Source organism: Homo sapiens, chromosome 5, assembly GCF_000001405.40.
Source record: "Homo sapiens chromosome 5, GRCh38.p14 Primary Assembly".
NCBI classification, from domain to species: Eukaryota; Metazoa; Chordata; class Mammalia; order Primates; family Hominidae; genus Homo; species Homo sapiens.
This window is the reverse complement of record NC_000005.10, coordinates 109,230-131,325: the sequence shown is the minus strand read 5'-3', so window position 1 is coordinate 131,325 and position 22,096 is coordinate 109,230. Positions and strand designations below refer to the sequence as shown.

At 42.7% G+C, this 22,096-nt stretch overlaps 1 protein-coding gene across 1 annotated transcript in view; it reads right to left on the bottom strand.

Annotated features, from left to right (window-relative positions):
• The window catches only part of PLEKHG4B (pleckstrin homology and RhoGEF domain containing G4B), a 97,799-nt gene that overhangs the window by 58,641 nt on the left and 17,062 nt on the right, over positions 1 to 22,096 (bottom strand). The window contains exon 2 of the mRNA NM_052909.5: positions 17,878 to 18,075. Coding sequence (NP_443141.4) covers positions 17,878 to 18,075 — 198 coding nt within the window. The remainder of the gene's footprint in view (positions 1 to 17,877; positions 18,076 to 22,096) is intronic.

Below are 22,096 nucleotides of genomic sequence, written 5' to 3'. Positions count from 1 at the left end.
AATGAGAACACTTGGACACAGGGCGGAGAATATCACACACCAGGGCCTGTTGGGGGCTGGGGTTCTAGGGGAGGGATAGCATTAGGAGAAATACTTAATGTAAATGACGAGTTGATGGGTGCAGCAAACTAACATGGCACATGTATACCTATGCAACAAACCTGCACGTTGTGCACATGTACCCTAGAATTTAAAGTAAAAAAAAAAGGAAGCAGCTTCTTCAAGGGGAACTTGCAGAGGCGTGGGGCATCAGCTGTGATTTCATAATAATGTACATGACATGAATAGCTGAACTATGACAAGACTATTCCAAGTGGAATGTACATCAAGGCTTTGAAAAAGAAACAAATAGAGAAAGAACACCATTCTTCTTTGCCTCAATACAATTCACAATTCTGTGATTCTCCTTGGCCAAACTAGCCATGGTTTAGATTGTAAATCTTTTGGCTACCCTGGGATTGCTACCAAATTAGACCAGATGCTATAAATCTTGTAGTCATGTTCTGAATAGTTCCAGTCCTGAGAAAGCTGCAGATCACACAGGGTAAATCTTTCTCTCATTTTGATGTCTTCTCTAAGCGGTGCACTCAAGTTGTTTCAACACAGTGTCAAGGAGAGTGTCAGAACCAGAGTTTTCTTATTTAAAATGAGGGCACTCGACTTCACTGTTTAAGTGCTGCAGCTCAGCTGCTAAAAATAAGCAGAGTCCCGCTTTATAATGAGCTTTCACAAAGCTGTCCAGGAGCCTGAAATTCCTGAGACAATTAACAGGTTTTGATCATAACAAAGGCATATCACGCCATGAATGTCAATATTCCTAAAAGTTCAGCTTCATTCTGGGCAATGGGACAGGTAACCTCCCAGGGCATGGGGGGGCGTTAAGGGATGAGCTTCCCTCTACTGTGGTATGAAACCAATTTACACTCCTTTTTTGGTTTAATATTAGTTATTAACATTTCCTTATGTATTTTTTAAATGCTAAATTGTAACATCTCTTCTGTAAATTATCTCTTCAAGTCTGCCAATTTTTCTATTGGCTCTTAGTGTTTCACTTATTTTTATAAGCCCTCAGCAAAGACAATGTAAAGAATAGCTTTTGTTTTGTGTGTTTTTTCTGCTGATGTTTTTGAATTGTAAATTTTCTAGATGTTTCTGCCATCAATTTCCTTCTCTTTGTGGTGTCACTCTTTGCTTCAGCCAAGTAAGTCTGTCTTTTTCTGATGAGAAAGCATGTTCCTTTCTCTCTCTCTCTCTCACTCTCTCTTCATATTCACTCTGACTCATCTGGATTTAATGTGGTCTTGGGTGGGAAAACCTATACAGACATTTTCCTGAGTGACCTATGAGCATGTGTGACTCTTAAGCACATTCTGGGTGAAGCCTGTCCTCTTGCCCACTGATTTTACTGCCTACTTTGCAACATTCTAAGTTGTACATTCCTTTGATGCCTCCAGCTGTGAGTGGTCAGGACTGGCAATTAGTTTGCTAAGGCAGGCAATGACAAAAAAAAAAGGTCATACATACCCTAAATATTTTATTTTAGCTTTAAATACATTAATGCACATTCACCCACCACTATCTTGATGGGGGCTAGGGAAGGCTTATTTCCTCTTTGGGAGCTCTCCCTCAGTCCTAGGGAATACTTCGTAGCTCTCATTGACCCTTGTTGATGAAGAAAGCCAAGCTCTATGAAATATTTAAAGAGGCTTACTCTGAGCAAAATGTAAGTGACCATCACCTGGGGTACACCCTCAAGAGATCCTGAGAATGTGTGCCTGAGTTGGTCTAGTTACAGTTTGGTTTTATACATTTTAGGGAGACTGAAGTTACAGGCAAAGACATACATCAATACATGTAAGGTATATACTGGATTCGCCCAGAAAGGCAGGACATCTCAAGTTTGGAGGGCAGGGGTGATGGACTCAGAATTTTTCTGATTGGCAGTTGGTTGGAAGAGGTAAGCTCTGCCTAAAGAACTGACGTCAGCAGAAAGAAACACTCCAGTTAAGATAAAGGGGGATAAAGCCAAGGTTCTTGTTCTGTAGATGAAGCTTCTAAGTAGCAGGCTTCAGTGAGAATGATGGCAAATGTCTCCTTTTGTACCTTAAAAGGTGTCAGACTCTTGGTTAAACCCCTCTCCTGGGTCAGGAGAAGACCTAGAAAGGGAAGGAGATTCTCTACAGAATGCAAATGTCCTCCACAAGAGACAATTTTGCAAGGCTGCTTCAGAATATGGCAAAGAAATCTATTTTGGAGTCAAATAATTTCATTTCCTCAGGGCCTGTTGTCATGTGACGCCACAGGTTCAGATTTGGTATCTTATTGCTACGGAATCTGTTTCGTCAGTCTTTTGGTCTCTATTTTAATACTAATGCTGGTCAGTTGTGCCTAAACTCCAAAGGCCTGTCCGACCCCTCCCTGTCACGGCCTGAACTCGTTCTTCCAGTTTCTTTGGGATCTCCTTGGCCAAGGGAGAGGGGGTCTGTTCAGTTGGTGGGGGACTTAGAATTTCATTTCTGGTTTACACCCTTTATGGTTATCCCAGTTGTGAGGAGGATTCTGGGAAGATGGTGGAGTAGGAGGCACCAGCAGTCTGTCTCCCCATCTGGACAACACCTGCACTGGCAGAATCTGTCTGCCATAACTATTTTGGAACTCTGGAGTCTACCAAAAGCATGAAGGGCAAATTGTGGTTGATTGTGGTCAATTTCAGCTCTTGGCCCCACTGGCAGCCCCACCTCCAGCCCCGCAGGCAGCTGTGCCTGTGTTCCTGGAGCGGCTTGCAAGAGCCAAAGTGGCCAAAAAACCCCAAGAAACAAAAAAGAAAACCCCTGTCATCCAAATACAGTGGATCAGTGCTGAGGACTAAGCTCTGATTTTTTTAATCTTGCCTAAATGCCTATCTGAGGGGTCTGGGGAGTTCATGCCCTACAAACCATAAATTCTCATCATGTGGTTTTTATTTAGCCATACAGATTGTGACTTTCCAATCTGACTCTGGCATAACATCATGTGACAAAGAAGAAAGTTAAAATATTTTACTGCAAAATACGTTTCTTTGCCATATTTTGAAATGGCCCTGCAAAGCTGTCCTTGGTGGGGGAAAATTTGTATCTGTAAAGACTCTCTATTAACATAGCTAGATCTTTTTCTTCCGGGCCCTCCCAGTCCTGAAGAGATTAACTAAAATCTAGTACCTTTTAAAGGTCTGAATAGGACACATTTGTCATCTATTGTCCCTAAGGGCAGCCACCATAAGATTCAAAAGAAACTTTGTCTCCACAATCTTTTATCTTTACCTGAACACTCCCTTTCTATTGACCCCAGGTCTTTAGAAGAACTCAACCAATTGTCAGCCAGAAAATGTTTAAATTCACCAAATCCCCTAGTTGTCCTGCCTTTCTGGACCAAACCAATGTATTTCTTAAATTTATTTGATTGATGTCTCAATATCCCTAAAATGTATAAAACCAAGCTGTACCCTGACCACCTCAGGCACATGTTCTCAGGACCTCCTGAGGGCTGTATCAGGGGCCATAGTCACTCATGTTTGGCTCAGAATAAATCCCTTCAAACATTTTACAGAGTTTGACTCTTTTCATTAACAGTGCTCTAATCACTGTGGCTGGTGACCACAGAGGTGCAGACAAAGAGGTGCAAGTTCAATATTGTTGCACCTTTCTCACTGTTCGGCCGCCACCTACCACTGCCACTGAAGTGACTTCCAGGGGATTTAAAGAGGTGATGCCCTTTTGCCACCCCTTTCATTTTTTTGTCTTTTCCCCTTTTGTGAGCCAGACATTAAACACTAGGACATTTTAAAAAAATGTATACAAGGAAAATTAGAAAATGACCATGTATGCTCAAAGAAAGGACCAGGCTCAGAAGGAACTGAAATGACCTTACGGTTACACCTCAGGCTGGGCCTTGGCACAGAGGCAGCCTATAATAATAATAATAATAATAATAATAATAATAATAATAAAAACCAACAATAAGCAGAAACAATGATATAGGAGTTAAGAAGAAATTAGGCAGATAGTGAGGGAAAGAAAGTCTGTAGTAACGTTTCCTTTTAATGAAAATCAGCCCCCAAATCATTTTCTTTTCTAACAAAGAGCAGCCTTTAAAATCGAGCTGCAGACATAGACAAGCAAGCTGGAAGCTCATACAGGTGAATGCTGGCAGTTGCGCCAATAAGAAAAGGCTACCTGGGACTAGGCATGTTCAAAATGGCAGCTCCGTCTTCCCTTCTTTTGCCAGCCACATGTATAGTAAGGAGCAGGCAAGATGGCGCTGGCCAAGTGGAAAGAACATTTGCATAAGATTAGGGTGGGGTGGCCAGCTTCCCCGACCCGCACACTATGTAAATGTCACACCTGGTCCAACCAATCTGTGGGCCCCATGTAAATGGAATACCACCTCCTCAAGCCTGCCTATAAAATCTGGTGCTCTCTGCCGCAGGCCAGATTTCCCTTTTGGGCACCCCTCTCTGTCTTGAGAGTAAGAGTTCTTCTCCTTTCTCTTTCTTTTGCCTATTAAACCTCCACTCCTAAACTCACTCCTCATGTGCGTCCATGTCCTTAATCTTCTTGGTGTGAGATGATGAACCCCGGGTATTTACCCCAGAAAACAGTGCCGCTTCAACAACATAAAAAGCAAACCCCAAGGGAGGGGGAAAGTCTGCTTTGCAGAGGTGTCACATAATTAGATTCAAATGTCCAATTTTCAACAAAATGTCATGAGGCCTTCAAACAAACAGGAAAGTATGTTCCATTCAATGGAAAAAATAATTAGAAACTGTCCCTGGAAAAGACTTGATAGTAGACCTACTAGGAAAAGACTTTAAAACAACAGTCTTAAAGATGCTCAAAAAACTAAAGAAAGATGTGAAGAAAATAAAGTGATGTATGAAAAAGTGAAAATATCAACAAAGATATTAAAAATCCTAAAAAGAAGCCAAACAAATTCTGGAGCTGAAAAGTATAATAACTGAAATGAAAAATTCACTAAAGGGGTTCAAAGGTGGATTTGAGCAGGCAGAAGAAAGAAAAGTGAACAAAGCCTAAAAGACCTGTGGGATACCATCGAGCAGCCAGCATATGTAAAATGGGAGTTCCAGAAGGAGAGTAAAAAGGCATAGAATATTTGAAGAAATAATGTGTGAAAACTTCCCAAATTTGAGGAAAGACATGAATACAAACATCCAAGAAGCCTGATAAGCTCCAAGTAAGAGGAAGTCAAAGAGACCCACACCAAAACACATTATAATCCAGCTTTTGAATGACAAAGACAAAGAATCCTGAAAGCAGCAAGATAGAAGTGACTCATCACATGCAACAACCTTAATAAGATTGTCGGCATATTTTGCATCAGAATCTTTCAAGTCCAGAAGGCAGTGGGACAAAACATTCAAAATGATAAAAGAAAAAAATCCTGTTGACAAGGACTCATATCTAGCAAAACTATGCTTCAAAAGTGAGAGTGAAATTAAGACATTCCCAGATAAACAAAAGCTGGGGGGATTTGTTACCACTAGACCCACCCTGCAGAAACAACGGAGTCCAGCAAGGTGAACTCAAAGAACATTAGACAGTAACTTGAAGGACTATGAAGAAATAAAGATTTCAATACAGGTAAATATATGCAAATTATGAAAGCTAGTATTATTGTAACAATGGCTTGTAACTGCCTTTTTGTTTTCTACATGATTTAAGACACTAATATATTTATAAGAATTATTAGATTATGTTTAATACTTCATACTACTAGTAATAATTAGTAATACTTCATACTAATAAAGTATAAAGATGTAATTTTCTGACATCAGCAACCAAAAGGGGTGAGACAGAGCTGTAAAGGAACAGAATTTTTTTATGTTATTAATGTTAAACTTGTATAAATTCAAATTAGTGTTATAACTTTAGGATAATAAGTGTAATCCCCATGGTAATCAAAAGGAAAATAGCTATAGAATGTACACAAAAGGAAACAAGGAAAGAATTTAAGACTTTTACTACAAAAAATCAACTAAACACTGAAGAAGACAGTAATGCAGGAAATGGACAAAAAAGCTATACAGCACATACATAGAAAACAAATGGACAAATGACAGGAGCCCCTGTTTATCAGTAACTACTTTAAACATAAATGTGTTACCCAATCAAGAGACAGAAACTGGCAAAATTGATTTTTTTTTAAGTCTCACTCTGTCACTCAGGCTGGAGTTGAGTGGTGTGATCTCAGCTCACTGCAACCTCTGCCTCCTGGGTTCAAGGGATTCTCGTGCCTCAGCCTCCCAAGTAGCTGGGATTACAGTCGCACGCCTCCACACCCAGCTAATTTTTGTATTTTTAGTAGAGACGGGGTTTCACCATGTTGGCCAGGCTGTCTCAAACTCCTGACCTCAGGTGATCCACCCACCTTGGCCTCCCAAACTGCTGGGATTACAGGTGTGAGCCACCACACCCAGCCTGCAAAATGGATTTTTGAAAAAATCCCACATGATCCAACTATATGGTGTCCACAAAAGACTCACTTGAGATTCAAAGACATAAACAGATCCAAACTGAAAAGACGGAAAAATATATCCACACAAATAGTAACCAAGAGACAGCAGGAATGACTATACTAATGTCAGATAAAATAGACATTAAATCATAAAATGTTACCAGATACCATGAAGAACCTTATATATTAAGAAAAGGTTAAATACAGCAAGAAGATATAACAATTATAGACATTTACAGACCAAATGACAGACCATCAAAATGTATGCAGCAAAAACTAACAGAACTGAAGACAGACACAGACAGCTCTACAATAATTGTTGGAGACTTCAATACCTCACTGTTTCACTGTCAATGGACAGAAGAACCAGACAGAAGATGTATTTTTAAAAATGGAGGACTTTAACAACACCATAAATCAACTCCATCTAACAGACATATGCAGAACACTCTAGCCAGCAGTGTCATTATTCTGCCTTCATGTTTGAAAGGTATTTTTGCTGGACATACACATGCTTCTCAAGTGCACACATGAGACAACTTCCAGGGTAGAACATATGTTAGGCCACAAATTAAGTCTCGGTAAACTTAAAAAGATAGATATCATACAAATTATCTTCGCCGATCACAAAGGGATGAAGTTGGAAGTCAATAACAGAAATAAGACTGAAAAATTCACAAAATTGTGGAAATTAATCAACAATGGATCAAAAAGGAAATCACAAGAAAAATGAGAAAATGTTTGAAGTGAAATGAAAACAAAAACACAACATATTACAACTTACGGGAGGCAGCAAAAGCAGCATTAAGGGGGAAATTTATAGCTATAAATGCTTACATTTTTAAAAAGTAAAGATCGCAAATCAACAACCTAACTTTACAACTTAAGGAACTAGAAAAAGAAGAAAAAAACTAAACCCAAAGCTAGCAGATGAAAGGAAACAATAAAGATTAGAACAGAGATACATGAAAGAATAGAAAAACGTGAGACAAAATGGATGAAACCAACAATTGGTTCTTTGGAAAGATAAAAAAAGTTGACAAACCTTTAGCCAAGTGGACTGAAAAAAGAAGATTCATGTTACTAAAATCAGATTAAAGAGGGGATATTACTTACTACTGATTCTACAGAAATAAAAAGGATTATGAAAAATTATTATTAGCTGTACATCAATAAATTGGATAATCTAGATTAATTCCTAGAGACACAAAGCCTACCAAGATTAAATCAGGAAGAAATTTAAAATGTGCATATACCTATGACTGCTAAGTAGATTGAATCAGTAATTTAAAAATCTTTTAACAAAGAAAAGCCTGGAACTCATGGTTGCATTGGTGAATTTTACCAAACATTTAAAGAAGAATACCACCCCTTCTCTAATTTTTCCAAAAAATTAAAGAGGAGGGAATACTTCCTAACTCATTCTAAGAAGCATTACCAAGATATCAGACAAAAGAAAAATATAGACTAATATCCCTTATGGACATTGTAATCTTTTCTACCCATGGATTATTTAGAAATACATAATTTCCAAGTATTTTGTGAGTTTCTAGTTATCTCTTTTATGTTATTGAGCTTTGGTTTAATAACACTGTAGTCAGAAAAAAAAAACTCTGATCTCTGTCCTTAGAAAATTATTGATACTTTGAAAAAAATCATCTACAGTATGTAGTTTATTTTGTGAAGTGGTTCAATGTGACCTTCAAAAGAATGTGTATTCTGCATTTGTTGTGTGCAATGTTCTATAAATGTCAAATAGGTCAAGTTTATTATTAACGTTGTTCAGGTTTTTGATATTCTTAACGATTTTTTTTCCAATTGTTCTATGAATTGCTGAGAGGAGAGGGTAAAAAATCGACATTTACTGCTGACAATTGTTTGGTTTTATGTATTTTGAAACTCTATTATTAGGTACTGTGTTGATAAATTGAGCCTTTTGTTGCCACAAATTGTCCCTATCTGTCTCTGGTAATACTCATTGTCTTGAAATCTTACTTATCTGATATTAATCCACCACATACTTTCTTACACTTAGTGGTATTTTCCCATTTTTTTAGGTTCCATTTTTGTGTGTCTTTATATTTAAAGGGCATTTTGGCCAGGTGCGGTGGCTCATGTCTGTAATCCCAGCACTTTGGGAGGCCGAGGCAGGTGGATCACCTGATGTCAGGAGATCTGACCAGCCTGGCCAACATGGTGAAACCCCATCTCTACTAAAAATACAAAAAATTAGCTGGGCGTGGTGGTGGATGCCTGTAATCCCAGCTATTCGGGAGGCTGAGGCAGGAGAACTGCTTGAACCTGGGAGGCAGAGGTTGCAGGGAGCTAAGATCGCACCACCGTACTCCAGCCCAGGAGACAGTGCAAGACTCCATCTAAAAATAAATAAATAAATAAATAAATAAATAAATAAAAATAAAGGGCATTTTATACAACGAACGTTCAGTTGCTCTTGCCTTTTTTTGAGTCTGTCCATTTCTGCCTTTTACATGGAGTGTTTGGTTTACATTTAAAATAATTATTGATATGGTTGAATCAAATCTATCATCTTGTTATATAATTTCTATTTGTTCAATCTATTCTTTGTTCTTTTGTTCTTCCTTTCATCCTCTATTTTTTGGATTCCATTTTATCTCTTGAATATTTAGTTGTATCTCTTTGTGTTATTTTTGCTCTCAAGATTACAATATGCATCTTTAACTCACTACAGCCTAACTTCAATTAATATTTTAAAATTCGAAACAATGTAATAACCTTTCAGTAGTATAATTTCATTTACTTTCCCCAACATTTTGTGCTTTTGTTGTCATATATTTTACTTTTACATTGATTAAAAACCCCATGATACACTGATCTAAGTAGTTAATAATCTTTTAAAGACATTCATATTTACTCACGTATTTAGCCTTTCTTGTACCCTTCACCTATCTAGTATCATTTCCCTTCAACCTAAAGACCACCCTTTGGCATTTCTTTTATTCACCTCTGCTGGTCTACTCTTTTATTAACCTAAAAGTGTCATTATTTTGCCTTCATGTTTGAAAGATATTTTTGCTGGATGTAGACATTTATTTTTGCTGGATATAGAATTTTTTTCTTTCAACACTTAAAAGATGTTTTTCCATTGTCTTCTGAAGCCCAGTGCTTCTGAGGAAGTCATCGGTCATTCTTACTGTTCCCTGATGCATGCAGTTTGCCTCCTTCCTCTGTCAGGTGATGACGAGCTTCCTGGATTCAGGTGTTTCCGGTTTTAAACAAATTGAAAAAAATCTAACAATACTTCTTTATTTGTCCTGCCCTTTTCTCACTTTCCTCCCCTTCTGTGAATGCAACTATACACATTTCGACTGCTTGATAATGACACCAGTTACTGAGGTTTTGTTCATTGTTTCCTCATTCTCCTTTCTCTCTGTGCTTCCATTTGGATGACTTTCTTTGGCAAGTCTTCAAATTCATGTATCCTTTCTTTGTTGTGTCCAATCTGCATTAATCCCATTCACTAAGCATTTTAATTACAGATCTTGTATTTTTTAGTTTGGAGATTTCCATTTTCTTTTTCTTTTTTTTTTTAGACGGAGTCTCACTCTGTCACCCAGGCTGGAGTGCAGTGGCACGATCTCGGCTCACTGCAAGCTCCACCTCCCGGGTTCACGCCATTCTCCTGCCTCAGCCTCCCGAGTAGCTGGGACTACAGGCACCCGCCACCATGACTGGCTAATTTTTTTGTATTTTTAGTAGAGATGGAGTTTCACCGTGTTAGCCAGGATGGTCTCGATCTCCTGACCTCGTGATCCGCCTGCCTCAGCCTCCCAAAGTGCTGGGATTACAGGCGTGAGCCACCACACCTGGCCCATTTTCTTCTTTTAAAATACTTTCGAAATCTGAAACTCTCCACCTCTTCATCTACTTCATCTGCCATATTACTTATAGGTTATTTAATATATTTATTATAGTTTTTAAGAAGTCTCTGTCTGATAATTCCAACACCTGGGTGGTCTGTTTCTATTGAGAATTTTGCTGTTATTTATGAACTGATAAAATCTGGTACCTTTGCAAATCACCAATTCTTAAATTTTATCTCAGAGATTTTGTCTAATGCAGGCATGTTTCCTTTCAAGAGGAAATGTTCTTTCTTCTGTTAGGCAGTTAGGTGAGGGGCTTATCAGTGTAATGCATTTGGAAACAGAGCCAATTTGGGGCAGGGTTGTGGCTTTAATTCCTCTATGAAAGCCTTGGAATTAAAGCTACAGGAGTGCAATGAGATCTCTCTCCACCTTTCAGCCCAGCCTCAGACTTCACTGGCCACCAGGACCTTCTTATCAGATTTTAATTGGGTGGAGTTTGGTTTTAAGGTTGATTAATTTCAGCCTATCTCTAGTTTCAAATCCTTTGATGGTGAGTCCATCTCTCTCTCTCCAGGGGGAGTCTGGAATAAGAACTGAGAGATGTTGAAACCGTGGGACTGAAATTTTAAGACTGTTAGACGATGAGATTTTGAGACCATGAGACTGTAAGAGTTGGAGATCACAACTCTTTGGAACTGTATGACTATAATTTAGCTTTTGAAGCAGGGTCTTGCTGTGTTGCCCAGGCCAAGTGCAGTGGTACTATCAGAGCTCACTGCAGCTTCCATCTCCCAGGCTCAAGTAATCCTCTTACCTCTGCCTCCCAAGTAGCTGGGACCACAGGCATGCACCACCCACCATGACTGGTTAAGTTTTAGAAAAATTCTTGTAGAGCTGTGCTCTCACATGTTGCCCAGGATGCTACTGAACTCCTGGGCTCAAGCGATTCTCCCCCACAGCCTTGCAAAGTGCTGGGATTACAGGCGTGATAATGCCAGTGCACCCAGCCCATGTGACTATGAGATTCTGAGATTTCTTTTTGCTTTCTAGTCCCTCCTTCCATTTCCACTTACTCAGCAAAATTCCCTATAAGAGAATTACTTGGTAGAGAAGATCCACGTGCATTCAAGGCTCCTTCAGATTCTAATCTGTCAGCCCAGAGGTTTCCTAAATTTTGCTGATTTCTCCTTGTCTCAGCAAAGAAGGTCCTTCTCTAGTGGGCTTGCTCCCCTCTCCATCCTCCTCCAGCCTCAGTGACTGGCCCCAGGCATGACAGTGGCTTCTGTTATTTACTCATTTAGGACGGCACTGTCTCTCCACAGTTTGGTCCTTTTAGGTGTCTTCCATATCCATACCTCTTGGGTGGCTTTGAAGGACGATGCAATTGTGTAGGCTCCTCTAGGGGTTTCTTATTGTTTTGGTGGTAAAGGTCTTCATGTTCCTCCACATTGTAACTGGACACATCTGTTCTTTGGCTCTAAATATTTTGACAATTTCCTTGGTGGTTTTGTCATCCTTTATTTAGCAGTACATTAACCCATTTATGCTGGAGGTTGCAAATTTTTTGTGTGTGAAAAATCAGACCTTGGCGATGACATTCAGCAGTAGGATATAAATAACTCCCACAAGCTTAGTGTTCCAATAATGGAACATTAAACATAAATGGGTAAAAACATTTTCCAAATGTAAGGGTTTCTTGTTGTTGATTTCTAGTTTTATTGCACTGTGGCCTTTAGATATAAATTCTTTGGTATTTGTTGACACTTTACGGACAATGGTCAATCCTAGTAAGCTACATGTACACTTAAGAAGGCTGGGCATGGTGGCGCACACCTGTAATCCCAGTGGTTTGGGAGGCTGAGGCAGGAGGATCACTTAAGCCCAGGAGTTTGAGACCAGCCTGGGAAACATACTGAAAGCCCATCTCTACAAAAAATTTTAAAAATAAAATAATTAGCCAGGTGTGGTGGCACACGCCTGTAGTCCTAGCTAGTTTGGAAGCTGAGGTGGGAGGATCGCTTGAGCCCAGGAGGTCAAGGCTGTAGTGAGCCATGATCGCACCACTGCACTCCAGCCTGGGTGACAGAGTGAGACCCTGTCTCAAAAAAAAAAAAAGAAGGAGGAGGAGAAGAATGTGGGCTCTCCAATATCCTCTAATCATATATATATATAATATATGACAACAAAAGACAAAGTGTTGGGGAGCAAATGAAATTATACTACTGAGAGGTATTATTACCCTAGATCTGGGCAAAGTACATTGTAAACCTCTGGAAAGGATTCACCATTCTGGATGCTATTATGAACATTTAAGATTCATGAGAGGAAGTCAAAATACCAACATGAAGGGGAGTTTAGAAGAGGTTGATTCCAACCCTCATGAACTTTAAAATATTAATTGAAGTTAGGCTGTAGTGAGTTAAAGATGCATATTGTAATCTTGAGAGCAAAAATAACACAAAGAGATCATACACCCTTGAGATAAATGTTTCTAAATGGACAAGAATTTTATCAGATTTTGGTTAACTTTGGAAAGTGATCCATGTGTACTTGGGAAGGATTCTAAAGTTGCTGGGCTCAGCACTCTACGTATGCCCCATAATGGAAGAGAGTCAGTGTGTTTAATGTATATCCCAAGCAGTGTGTGGTCTGCTTACCCCGTCTGCTTTTGAGAGAGGTGAAATCTCCTACGGTAATTCTGGATTTCTCCTGGCAATTCTGTCCATTTATATTTCACACATTTTTGGACTATGTTGTTAGGGGTTCACAGATCATGTCTTCCTGGCTTTTTGTTACTAGTATTATTATTGAATGATCTTCTTTAGACCCAACAATGATGCACTTTGCCTTTTATGATATTTAGTTTGTTATGAACATTGCCACACCAGTAATCCTTTGAATGTTGCTGGTCTATTATTTTTTAGACTCGTGTCACAGACATTGTGCTTTTTACTTCCCATGGCTTTATTCTGTTAACTCCCTCCTCCTTTTCTGATTTCTATTTGATTGATTTCATTTATTTTATTCTAATTCCCAGCTCACTTCTGTCTCTCTTTTATGGAAATATCCTGTTTCTATATTTTTCTGATTACTTTTCCCTAAACGTTTTTTGTTCTTTTTGAGACAGTCTCACTCTGTTGCCCAGGATGGAGTGTAGTGGCACAATCCTAGCTCACTGCAACTTCTATCTCCTGGGTTCAAGAGATTCTCCTGCCTCAGCCTCCTGAGTAGCTGGGACTACAGGCACCTGCCACCACGCCCGGCTAACTTTTGTGTTTTTAGTAGAGATGGGGTTTTGCCATGTTGGCCAGGCTGGTCTCGAATTCCTGACCTCAGGTGATCCACCCTCCTCGGCCTCCCAAAGTGCTGGGATTACAGGTGTGAGCCACCGCACCGGGCCCTTTTCTCTAAACTTCTCCAGACACATTTCTGGATATGTGTCTTCTCCATCACATTTCTCAAATTGTGATGAAACAAAGTGACAAATAACTTGATAAGTGATTAAGCATGTCATTTATTGGCTGAGGGTTGGGAGACAGGCAACAGTAATCACTCAAGTCTTAGCTTCACATGACCATTTATCTCAATATTAATATTATTAATAATGATTTCCCAACCACATATTTTGACAACAGTGGATAAATGAATAAAAACAGAATTGAACTTATATCAACTGTTTATATTCATCTATTCATAGCAGTTAAGGTAAATGCATTTTTCTCCTGTTATAGAGATGAACAAATTTTATTTTTATCATTCAAAAGCAAAAATTAATATAAAATCAAGTAGACTGTCCCTAAGTTTTGTGTTGTGCTTATTAAGTACTAGTAAATATGCATCCATATTAAAGTACCATAATTCACATGACGTTTCCAGAAGACAAGCAATTTTGTAGGTTGGGAGAGGGATGGTTTTTGATTAAAATGAGAGGAAAAAGAAACTTCACAGAAAGAAGGTGAAACAGGCAGGCCTTTGAAAGCAGCCACGCGTTTTCAGACGCAGCGAAAGCAGTGGGGCTCCAGCAGGCACCTCTCTGTTTCTTCCCCACATCAGTCAACATCCTTGCAATATGCAAAAGGTACATCCTCACAAAGGAAAACGTCTTCTGAACAGACCACCTCACATAAGGAATCAAATCTAGGTTGTGCCTGGCCCCTCCCCTAGCCCTGTCATTCTAACCAAAAGACACTCAACGAGTCTAATAAACCAAAGTGGCCCAGTGGTAGTTTCAAAACAACGCCCTAATTCAATTTCAGTGGAGTGCTAAGTTGTGCTGTTAAGAAAGGCTGTGCTTTTTAGGACCTAGCCAGGTGCCTTCCAGCAGCTCGCTGCAACACACCCACAACCCGGCTATCACTACAGTTTTACCCCGGCCTCAAGAACAACTACAGCATAAATATCCCAAGAAACAGACTAAACATACAATAAATTCATTAAGTGGGACTTATCTGTATGTACAGACATATCTTGTTTTACTGTGTTCCAGCTGATTGAGCTCTGCAGATAATGCATTTTTCACGTACTGAAGATTTGTGGCAACCCTGTGTCTCTGTGTCACATTTTGGTAATTCTCACAATATTTCAAACTCCTTCATTATTATTATATCTGTTATGATGATCTATAATCAGAGTCCTTTGATGTTACTATTGTAATTGTTTTGGTGTGCCATGAACCATGCCAATATAAGACAGCAAACTTAATCAATAAACATTGTGTGTGTTCCGAAGTCTGCTCCACTGACTTGGCCATTCCTCCATCTCTCTCCCTTTCCTTGGGCCTCCCTATTCCCTAAGACACAATAATATTGAAATTAGGCTAAGTAACAACCCTGCAATGGCATCTAAGCGTTCAAGTCAAAGGAAGAGTTGGACATCTCTCATGTTAAATCAAAAGCTAAAAATGATTAAGCTTTGTGAGAAAGGCATGCTGAATGCCCCAGCCAGGCCAAAAGCTAGGCCTCCTGCACCTAGAAGTCAGCTAAGCTGTAAACACTAAAGAAAAGCTACCGAAGGAAATTAAAAGTCCACTCTAAGGAACACACAAATGATATGAAAGAGAAACAGCCTTATTGCTGACATGGAGAAAGTCTTTGTGGTCTGGATAGAAGAGCAAACCCTAGATACAACATTCCCTTAAGCCAAAGCCTAACCCAGATGAAGCCCCTAACTTTCTTCAGTTCTATGAAGGCTGAGAGAGGTGAGGAAGCTGCAGAAGAAAAGCTTGAAGCTAACAGAGGTGAGTTCATGAGGTTTAAGGAAAGAAGCCATCTCCTTAACGTAAAAATGCAAGGTGAAGCAGCAGGTACTGATGGAGAAGCTGCAGCAAGTAATCCAGAAGATCTGGCTAAGACCATTGATGAAGGTGGCTGTGCTTAACAACAGATTTTCAACGTAGACAAAACAGCCTTCTATTGGAAGAAGATGCTGTCTGGGACTTTCCTAGCTAGAGAGGCAAAGTCAATGCCTGCCTTCAAAGCTTCAAAGGACAAGCTGACTCTCTTGTTAGGAGCTGGTGCAGCTGGGGACTTTCAGTTGAAGCTGATGCTTATGGACCATTCTGAACCTCCCAGGGCCCCTAAGAATCATGCTCAGTCTACTTGGCCTTGCTCTATAAATAGAACAACAAAGCCTGGATGACAGCACGTCTGTTTACAGCATGGTTTACTCGATATTTTAAGCCCACTGTTGAGACCCACTGCTCAGAAAAAAAGATTCCTTTCAAAATATTACTGCTCACCAACAGTACATGTGGTCACCCAAGAGCTCTGATGAAGATGTACAAGCAGATAAATGTTTCCATCTGTGGTAACACAAAATCCATTCTGCAGCCTATGGCTCAAGAGTAATTTTGACTTTCAAGTCTTTTTAAGAAATACATTTTGTAAGACTATAGCTGCCATAGAGAGTGATTCCTCTGATGGATCTCAGCAAAGCACATTGTAAACCTCTGGAAAGGATTCACCATTCTGGATGCTATTATGAATATTTAAGATTCATGAGAGGAGGTCAGAATATCAACATGAAGGGGAGTTTAGAAGAGGTTGATTCCAACCCTCATGGATGACACTGAGGGGTTCAAGCCTCCCATGGAGGAAGGAACTGCAGATGTGGGGAAAATACCAAGAGAACTAGGATTAGAAGTGGAGCCTGAAGATGTAACTGAACTGCTGCAATCTCAGGATAAATCTTGAATGGATGAGGAATTGCTTCTTATGGATGAGCAAAGAACATGGTTTATTAAGATGGAATCTGTTGGGAGGCTGGGGCGGGTGGATCACCTGAGGTCAGGAGTTTAAGACCAGCCTGGCCAACATGGTGAAACCCACCTCTACTAAAAACACAAAAATCAGCCAGGCATGGTGGTGGGTGCCTGTAATCCCAGCTACTCAGGAGGCTGAGGCAGGAGAATTGCTTGAACCTGGGTGGCGGAGGTCGCAGTGAGCTGAGATTGCACCACTGTACTCCAGCCTGGGTGACAGAGCAAGACTCCATCTCAAAAAAACAAACAAACACCAAAATATGGAATCTGCTCCTGATGAAGATGCTGTGAACACTGTTGAAATGACAACAAAGGATTTAGAGTACTCCATAAACTTAGTTGATAAACAGAAGGATGTGAGAGGATCGACTCCAATTCTGAACGAAGTTCTATGGTGGGTAAAATGCTGTCAAACAGTATTGCCTGTCGGAGTAATCGTTCATAAAAGGAAGAGTCAATGTGGAAAACTTCATTGTGGTCTCATTTTAAGAAGCTGCCACAGCCACCCCAGCCTTCCGCAACCACTTCCATGATCAGTCAGCAGCCATCAACATTAAGGCAAGACCTTCCACCAATAAAGAGATTATGACTCACCAAAGGCTCAGATAATCATTAGCATTTTTGATCAATATTTTAAAATTAAGGTATGTATGCTGTTTTTAGACCTAATGCTACTGCACACTTAGACTATAGTGTAAACGTAACTTGTATATGCGCTGGGAAACCAAAAACTTTGTGTGTCTGGCATTAGCGTGGTATCTGCCTTACTTTGCTGGTCTGGAACTGAGACCACAATCCCTTCCAGGTGGGCCTGCACAGTGACTGCTGCACTGACTTAGCTCTGAGGTTCTCACTACTATCCCTTCCAGGTGGGCCTTCATTGTTACTGCTGCAGTAACTTAGCTCTGAAGTGCTCAGTACAGTCCCTTCCAGGTGGGCCGGCATTGTGACTGCTGTAGTAACTTAGTTCTGAGATACCTGCTCTGAAGAATGACTTATTTACTTCCTTCAAAGAATGCAGTGCAAGTTTATTGGGGGTGGGGGACAAAGAGGGCTCCACACTCCTGGGAAGCCTGAGAAACCCTTGTTGCTGGGACATGCAGCCTTGTTTGACCCTTCATTTGGGATGAGGGTGGGAGGAGCCAGAAGCCAGAGGAAAGAACTGAGCCAGTGCCCTGATGGGCCCAATTCCTGCCCTGCCCAGGGAAAGGGCAGGTTCCTCCAGGTTGGCCACGGTCTCAGAGCTACAAGGGAGGTACTCACACAGGCTTCCTGCTGCAGGTGCTGCAGGGCCCTCTTGGCTGGGAGGAGGAAGCTGGTGAGGCAGTGCAGCCCGTCCCCACCGTGGCACCTCTCGGCCACGCTGAACAGCTGCCAGAGCACCGTGGCTGCCGTGGCTTCAAACGGTGGGTACAAGGCAGAGAGCGTCCTCTGGATACAGGCATCAAGAGATTCCAGATCCTGAAATGAAAGAGAGAATTCAGAAACTTTAGGGACATAACTCAAGACAGGTGCACACCACAGTCCAAGGCTGGCACTGAAGGATCCACACGGAAGTCCCTTGTCCTGTGTCTGGCATGATGTGAGTTAACTGAGAAAGACAAAATGTGCAGGCGAATCCATGGTGCAGGGCGAGCTCCTGGTGGTTCTCCTTGTGCTGTCACACAGCAGAGGGGCAGGTGCATTAGGCAGACCCGTGGCCCTGTCCTGGGGCAGGGGCTCTATATACCACCTCTATAAATGTGGGCTGCCATTCCTATAACACTCACACTGAGGCACAACCAAGCCTAGATTTAGGGTAAGTTTCATCCCCTGCACCTGAACAGCATAAGGTCTTTGGGGTGGGGCTGTGAGTCCTGCGGGAGCTGCTCCTCCCGGCTCTCCTGGGTTTGTACAGGGAGGAGGGGACAACCACTTGTGGGGAGGACAAAGCTGGCCCACGCGCCACTTTGTTCTCAGAAAACAAGCTCATCCCACAGCAAATACATTTTAATTGTGTCGATGATTTTGTTTTCATTTAAACAGTACTGATGGTGAAAACCTTAGGGTGCCCTCCTCAAGGCTGCTGAATTGTGCCCATTTGGCACCCTAAAAACAGGATCATTGGCCACTGACTTCCGCTTGGCATTTTGGTGCAACATGCTTTTATGAAGAGGCAATGATTCTTGTTTAAAAATTTGTAATGCTGTTTTTAGAGTAACAATCCCTGAGGAAATACCACAAGGCTCATGTCTGTAGAAAAGAACTGCAAGGCAGTGAAAGCCAAAGAAGCTAAAAATTGTGAAGTCAGTTTTTATAATGGCACGACAGTTACATGAGAAACACCTCTGAATAGCTAATCACACAGATAATTTCCTAAGGAAATTGAAAATAAAACAGGGACTCCTCTGGCCTGCAGTGGGAGAAGGGTCTGTCTTGTCAGCTGGGCCTGTGACTGGAGGTACCTGCAGCAGAGCTCAGCTTCTGGAAACTGCGTGACTCAGGGAAGCTCAGGGCTGGGTTCCTGAGTCCTGTGTCCCACAGTAGAGCCTCCTGCCGGCCCTGCCACCCCATGGGTCAGCTCCCTTCCCTGCACACACTGGCTCGTTCTCACTCACCCGACAGGGCCACTCACTTGTTGACAGGAATGATCTAAATACAGTCTGAGTTCATGCAGAAATGCTATGTGATCTAATTTCCAAAAACTCAAATCACACCTGAGCCACACAGCAAACACATAGTCCATGAGAATGAGTGGGCCCGTCTCAGGCCAGGGTCACACAGTCCATGAGAATGAGTGGGCCCGTCTCAGGCCAGGGTCACACAGTCCATGAGAATGAGTGGGCCTGTCTCAGGCCGGGGACAGAATCACCCACATCGGGCACCAGGATGGCTGTGCTTTAGGATTTGGGGCAAATGCTCAATTGACACAGGAGAAATGGGCAGGAAGGAAGAGGAACATGATCTAGGAGAGGCATCTCGAATGGCCTGTTCTGCACGAGCTGAAATGTCGACACTGGGCCATCTCCGGAAGAGGCCTGTTCTGCAGGAGATGAAATGCCGACACTGGGCCATCCCCGGGAGAGACGTATTCTGCAGGAGCTGAAATGCCGACACTGGGCCATCCCCGGAAGAGACGTCCTCCTACTTCTCTGATTCCCAAATCCAGGCCCATTCCTCCCCCACCCTCAAGTCCAGATGTGGTCAGCAGCCCAGAGCTCTGTCCAGGGCCACCTTCTCCAGGGCCACCGTCTCAACCGCCCGACATAAGGAAGGAGATGGCTGGTGCACTGCGCTGTCAAGCCCTGACCCTACCTCTGCCTGATTCCATGGTGACTGGGGCAGGCCCCATGCTCCACTCAGTGGGTCCCACCTGCACCACCTCCCCAGGATGACTCCCACTGGGGCCACTCAGGGCCTGGGCCAGGCCAGAGCTGCCCCAGGGAAGCTGCCTGCAGACTGAGAATTGGGTAGGTTGAGGTGCTGAGTAACCCAAGTGAGCCATGAACCAGGTTTATTCATAGCAGCCTTCGAATGCTCCTGAGTCCTGTGTCCTTTGAGGGCGGAGTGTGTGCTGTCTCCTGGCCTGATGTGTCTGCAGCATCCCGATTCTGGGGAGCACCTTTGGGGGTGCCACTAGATGACTGCTCATGATGAGGGAGCTGCAGTGTGTGTGCAGGACTCCGAAGGAGTGTAAGCCTGGCCAGGTGCAGTGTACGGACAGAGGAACCCCTGCCAGCTGTGTCCAGGCCTCGGGGCCAGGAGAGAGAGCAGACACAGGGCAGGGGACCTGCAAGCACAGGTCCACCAGCTCAGCCCAATTTCTTGTCTTTGTAGAACTCAGGATTCTTGTTTCTGCCAAATGTACAAACGTGTGCTGACTTCAAACCCGAGGGCCTTCCAGTTTACGAGATCATGAGCCTCACTGAGGGACAGACGGTGCGGGTGTGTGCACGTGTTGCAGATTGTGTGGATGTGTGCACGTTTGTTGCAGAGTGGCTGGTGTGTGCACACGTGTTGCATTTTGTATGTGTGCACGTGTGCTGCAGATTGTGTGGGTGCGTGCACGTGTGTTGCAGATTGTGTGGATGTGTGCACGTGTGTTGCAGAGTGGCCGGTGTGTGCACACGTGTTGCAGATTGTGTGGATGTGTGCGCGTGTGTTGCAGATTGCGTGGGTGTGTGCACGTGTGTTGCAGATTGTGTGGATGTGTGCATGTGTGTTGCAGAGTGGCCAGTGTGCACACGTGTTGCAGATTGTGTGGATGTGTGCACGTGTGTTGCAGATTGTGTGGGTGTGTGCACGTGTGTTGCAGATTGTGTGGGTGTGTGCACGTGTGTTGCAGATTGTGTGGATGTGTGCATGTGTGTTGCAGAGTGGCCGGTGTGTGCACGTGTTGCAGACTGTGTGGGTGCGTGCACGTGTGTTGCAGATTGTGTGGGTGTATGCATGTGTGTTGCAGATTGTGTGGATGTGTGCATGTGTGTTGCAGAGTGGCCGGTGTGTGCATGTGTTGCAGATTGTATGGATGTGTGCATGTGCGTTGCAGAGTGGCCGGTGTGTGCACGTGTTGCAGACTGGATGTGTGCACGTGTGTTGCAGACTGTGTGGGTGCGTGCACGTGTGTTGCAGATTGTACAGGTGTGTGCATGTGTGTTGCAGATTGTGTGGGTGTGTGCACGTGTCTTGCAGATTGTGTGGGTGTGTGCACGTGTGTTACAGATTTTGTGGGTGTATGCATGTGTGTTGCAGAGCAACCGGTGTGTGCACGTGTTGCAGATTGTGTGGGTGTGTGCACGTGTGTTGCTGATTGTGTGGATGTGTGCATGTGTGTTGCAGAGCAACCAGTGTGTGCACGTGTGCTGCAGAGCAGCTGGTACAGTTCCGGTGCCCGCCAGTCCCTTGGCACTTCGCTGAGCTTTGCCCTGAACTCTGTGCAATCACTTAGCCAATGGGGCGGTGGCGGTAGAGCAGGAATGGAAGACGGTGTCCGAAAACCCATTTTAAAGCTTCACTCTTCAATGAAGGATTTATTTTCCCAATTAACTTTAAAATTTTATTGAAACGAGGGTAACATTTTAAAGTTAAGATGCTTGTTTCTCACCCTATCTGCACTCCCTGGCTCGCAGCTCCACGCCCACAGGGGACACAGCCCAGCCCAGCCCAGCTTCTGTGTCACCCGTGGGTTAGCGTGTCCCTCTGGCACCAACACATGGTGATACCCACAATGCTGTAGCCCAGGGTGTGGCACCTGGGGGTGGGTATGGGAGGTACTTTTAATTCACTGCTGTGGCCTTTGCCTCTGGCTGGATTTTTTTTTTTTTTTTTTTTTTTTGGAGACAGAGTCTTGCCCTGTCACCCAGGCTGGAGTGCAGTGGTGTGATCTAGGCTCACTGCAACCTCCACCTCCCGGGTTCAAGTGATTCTCCTCTCTCAGCCTTCCGAGTAGCTGGGACTACAGGTGTGTACCACCACTAACCGCGCCTGGCTAATTTTGCTATTT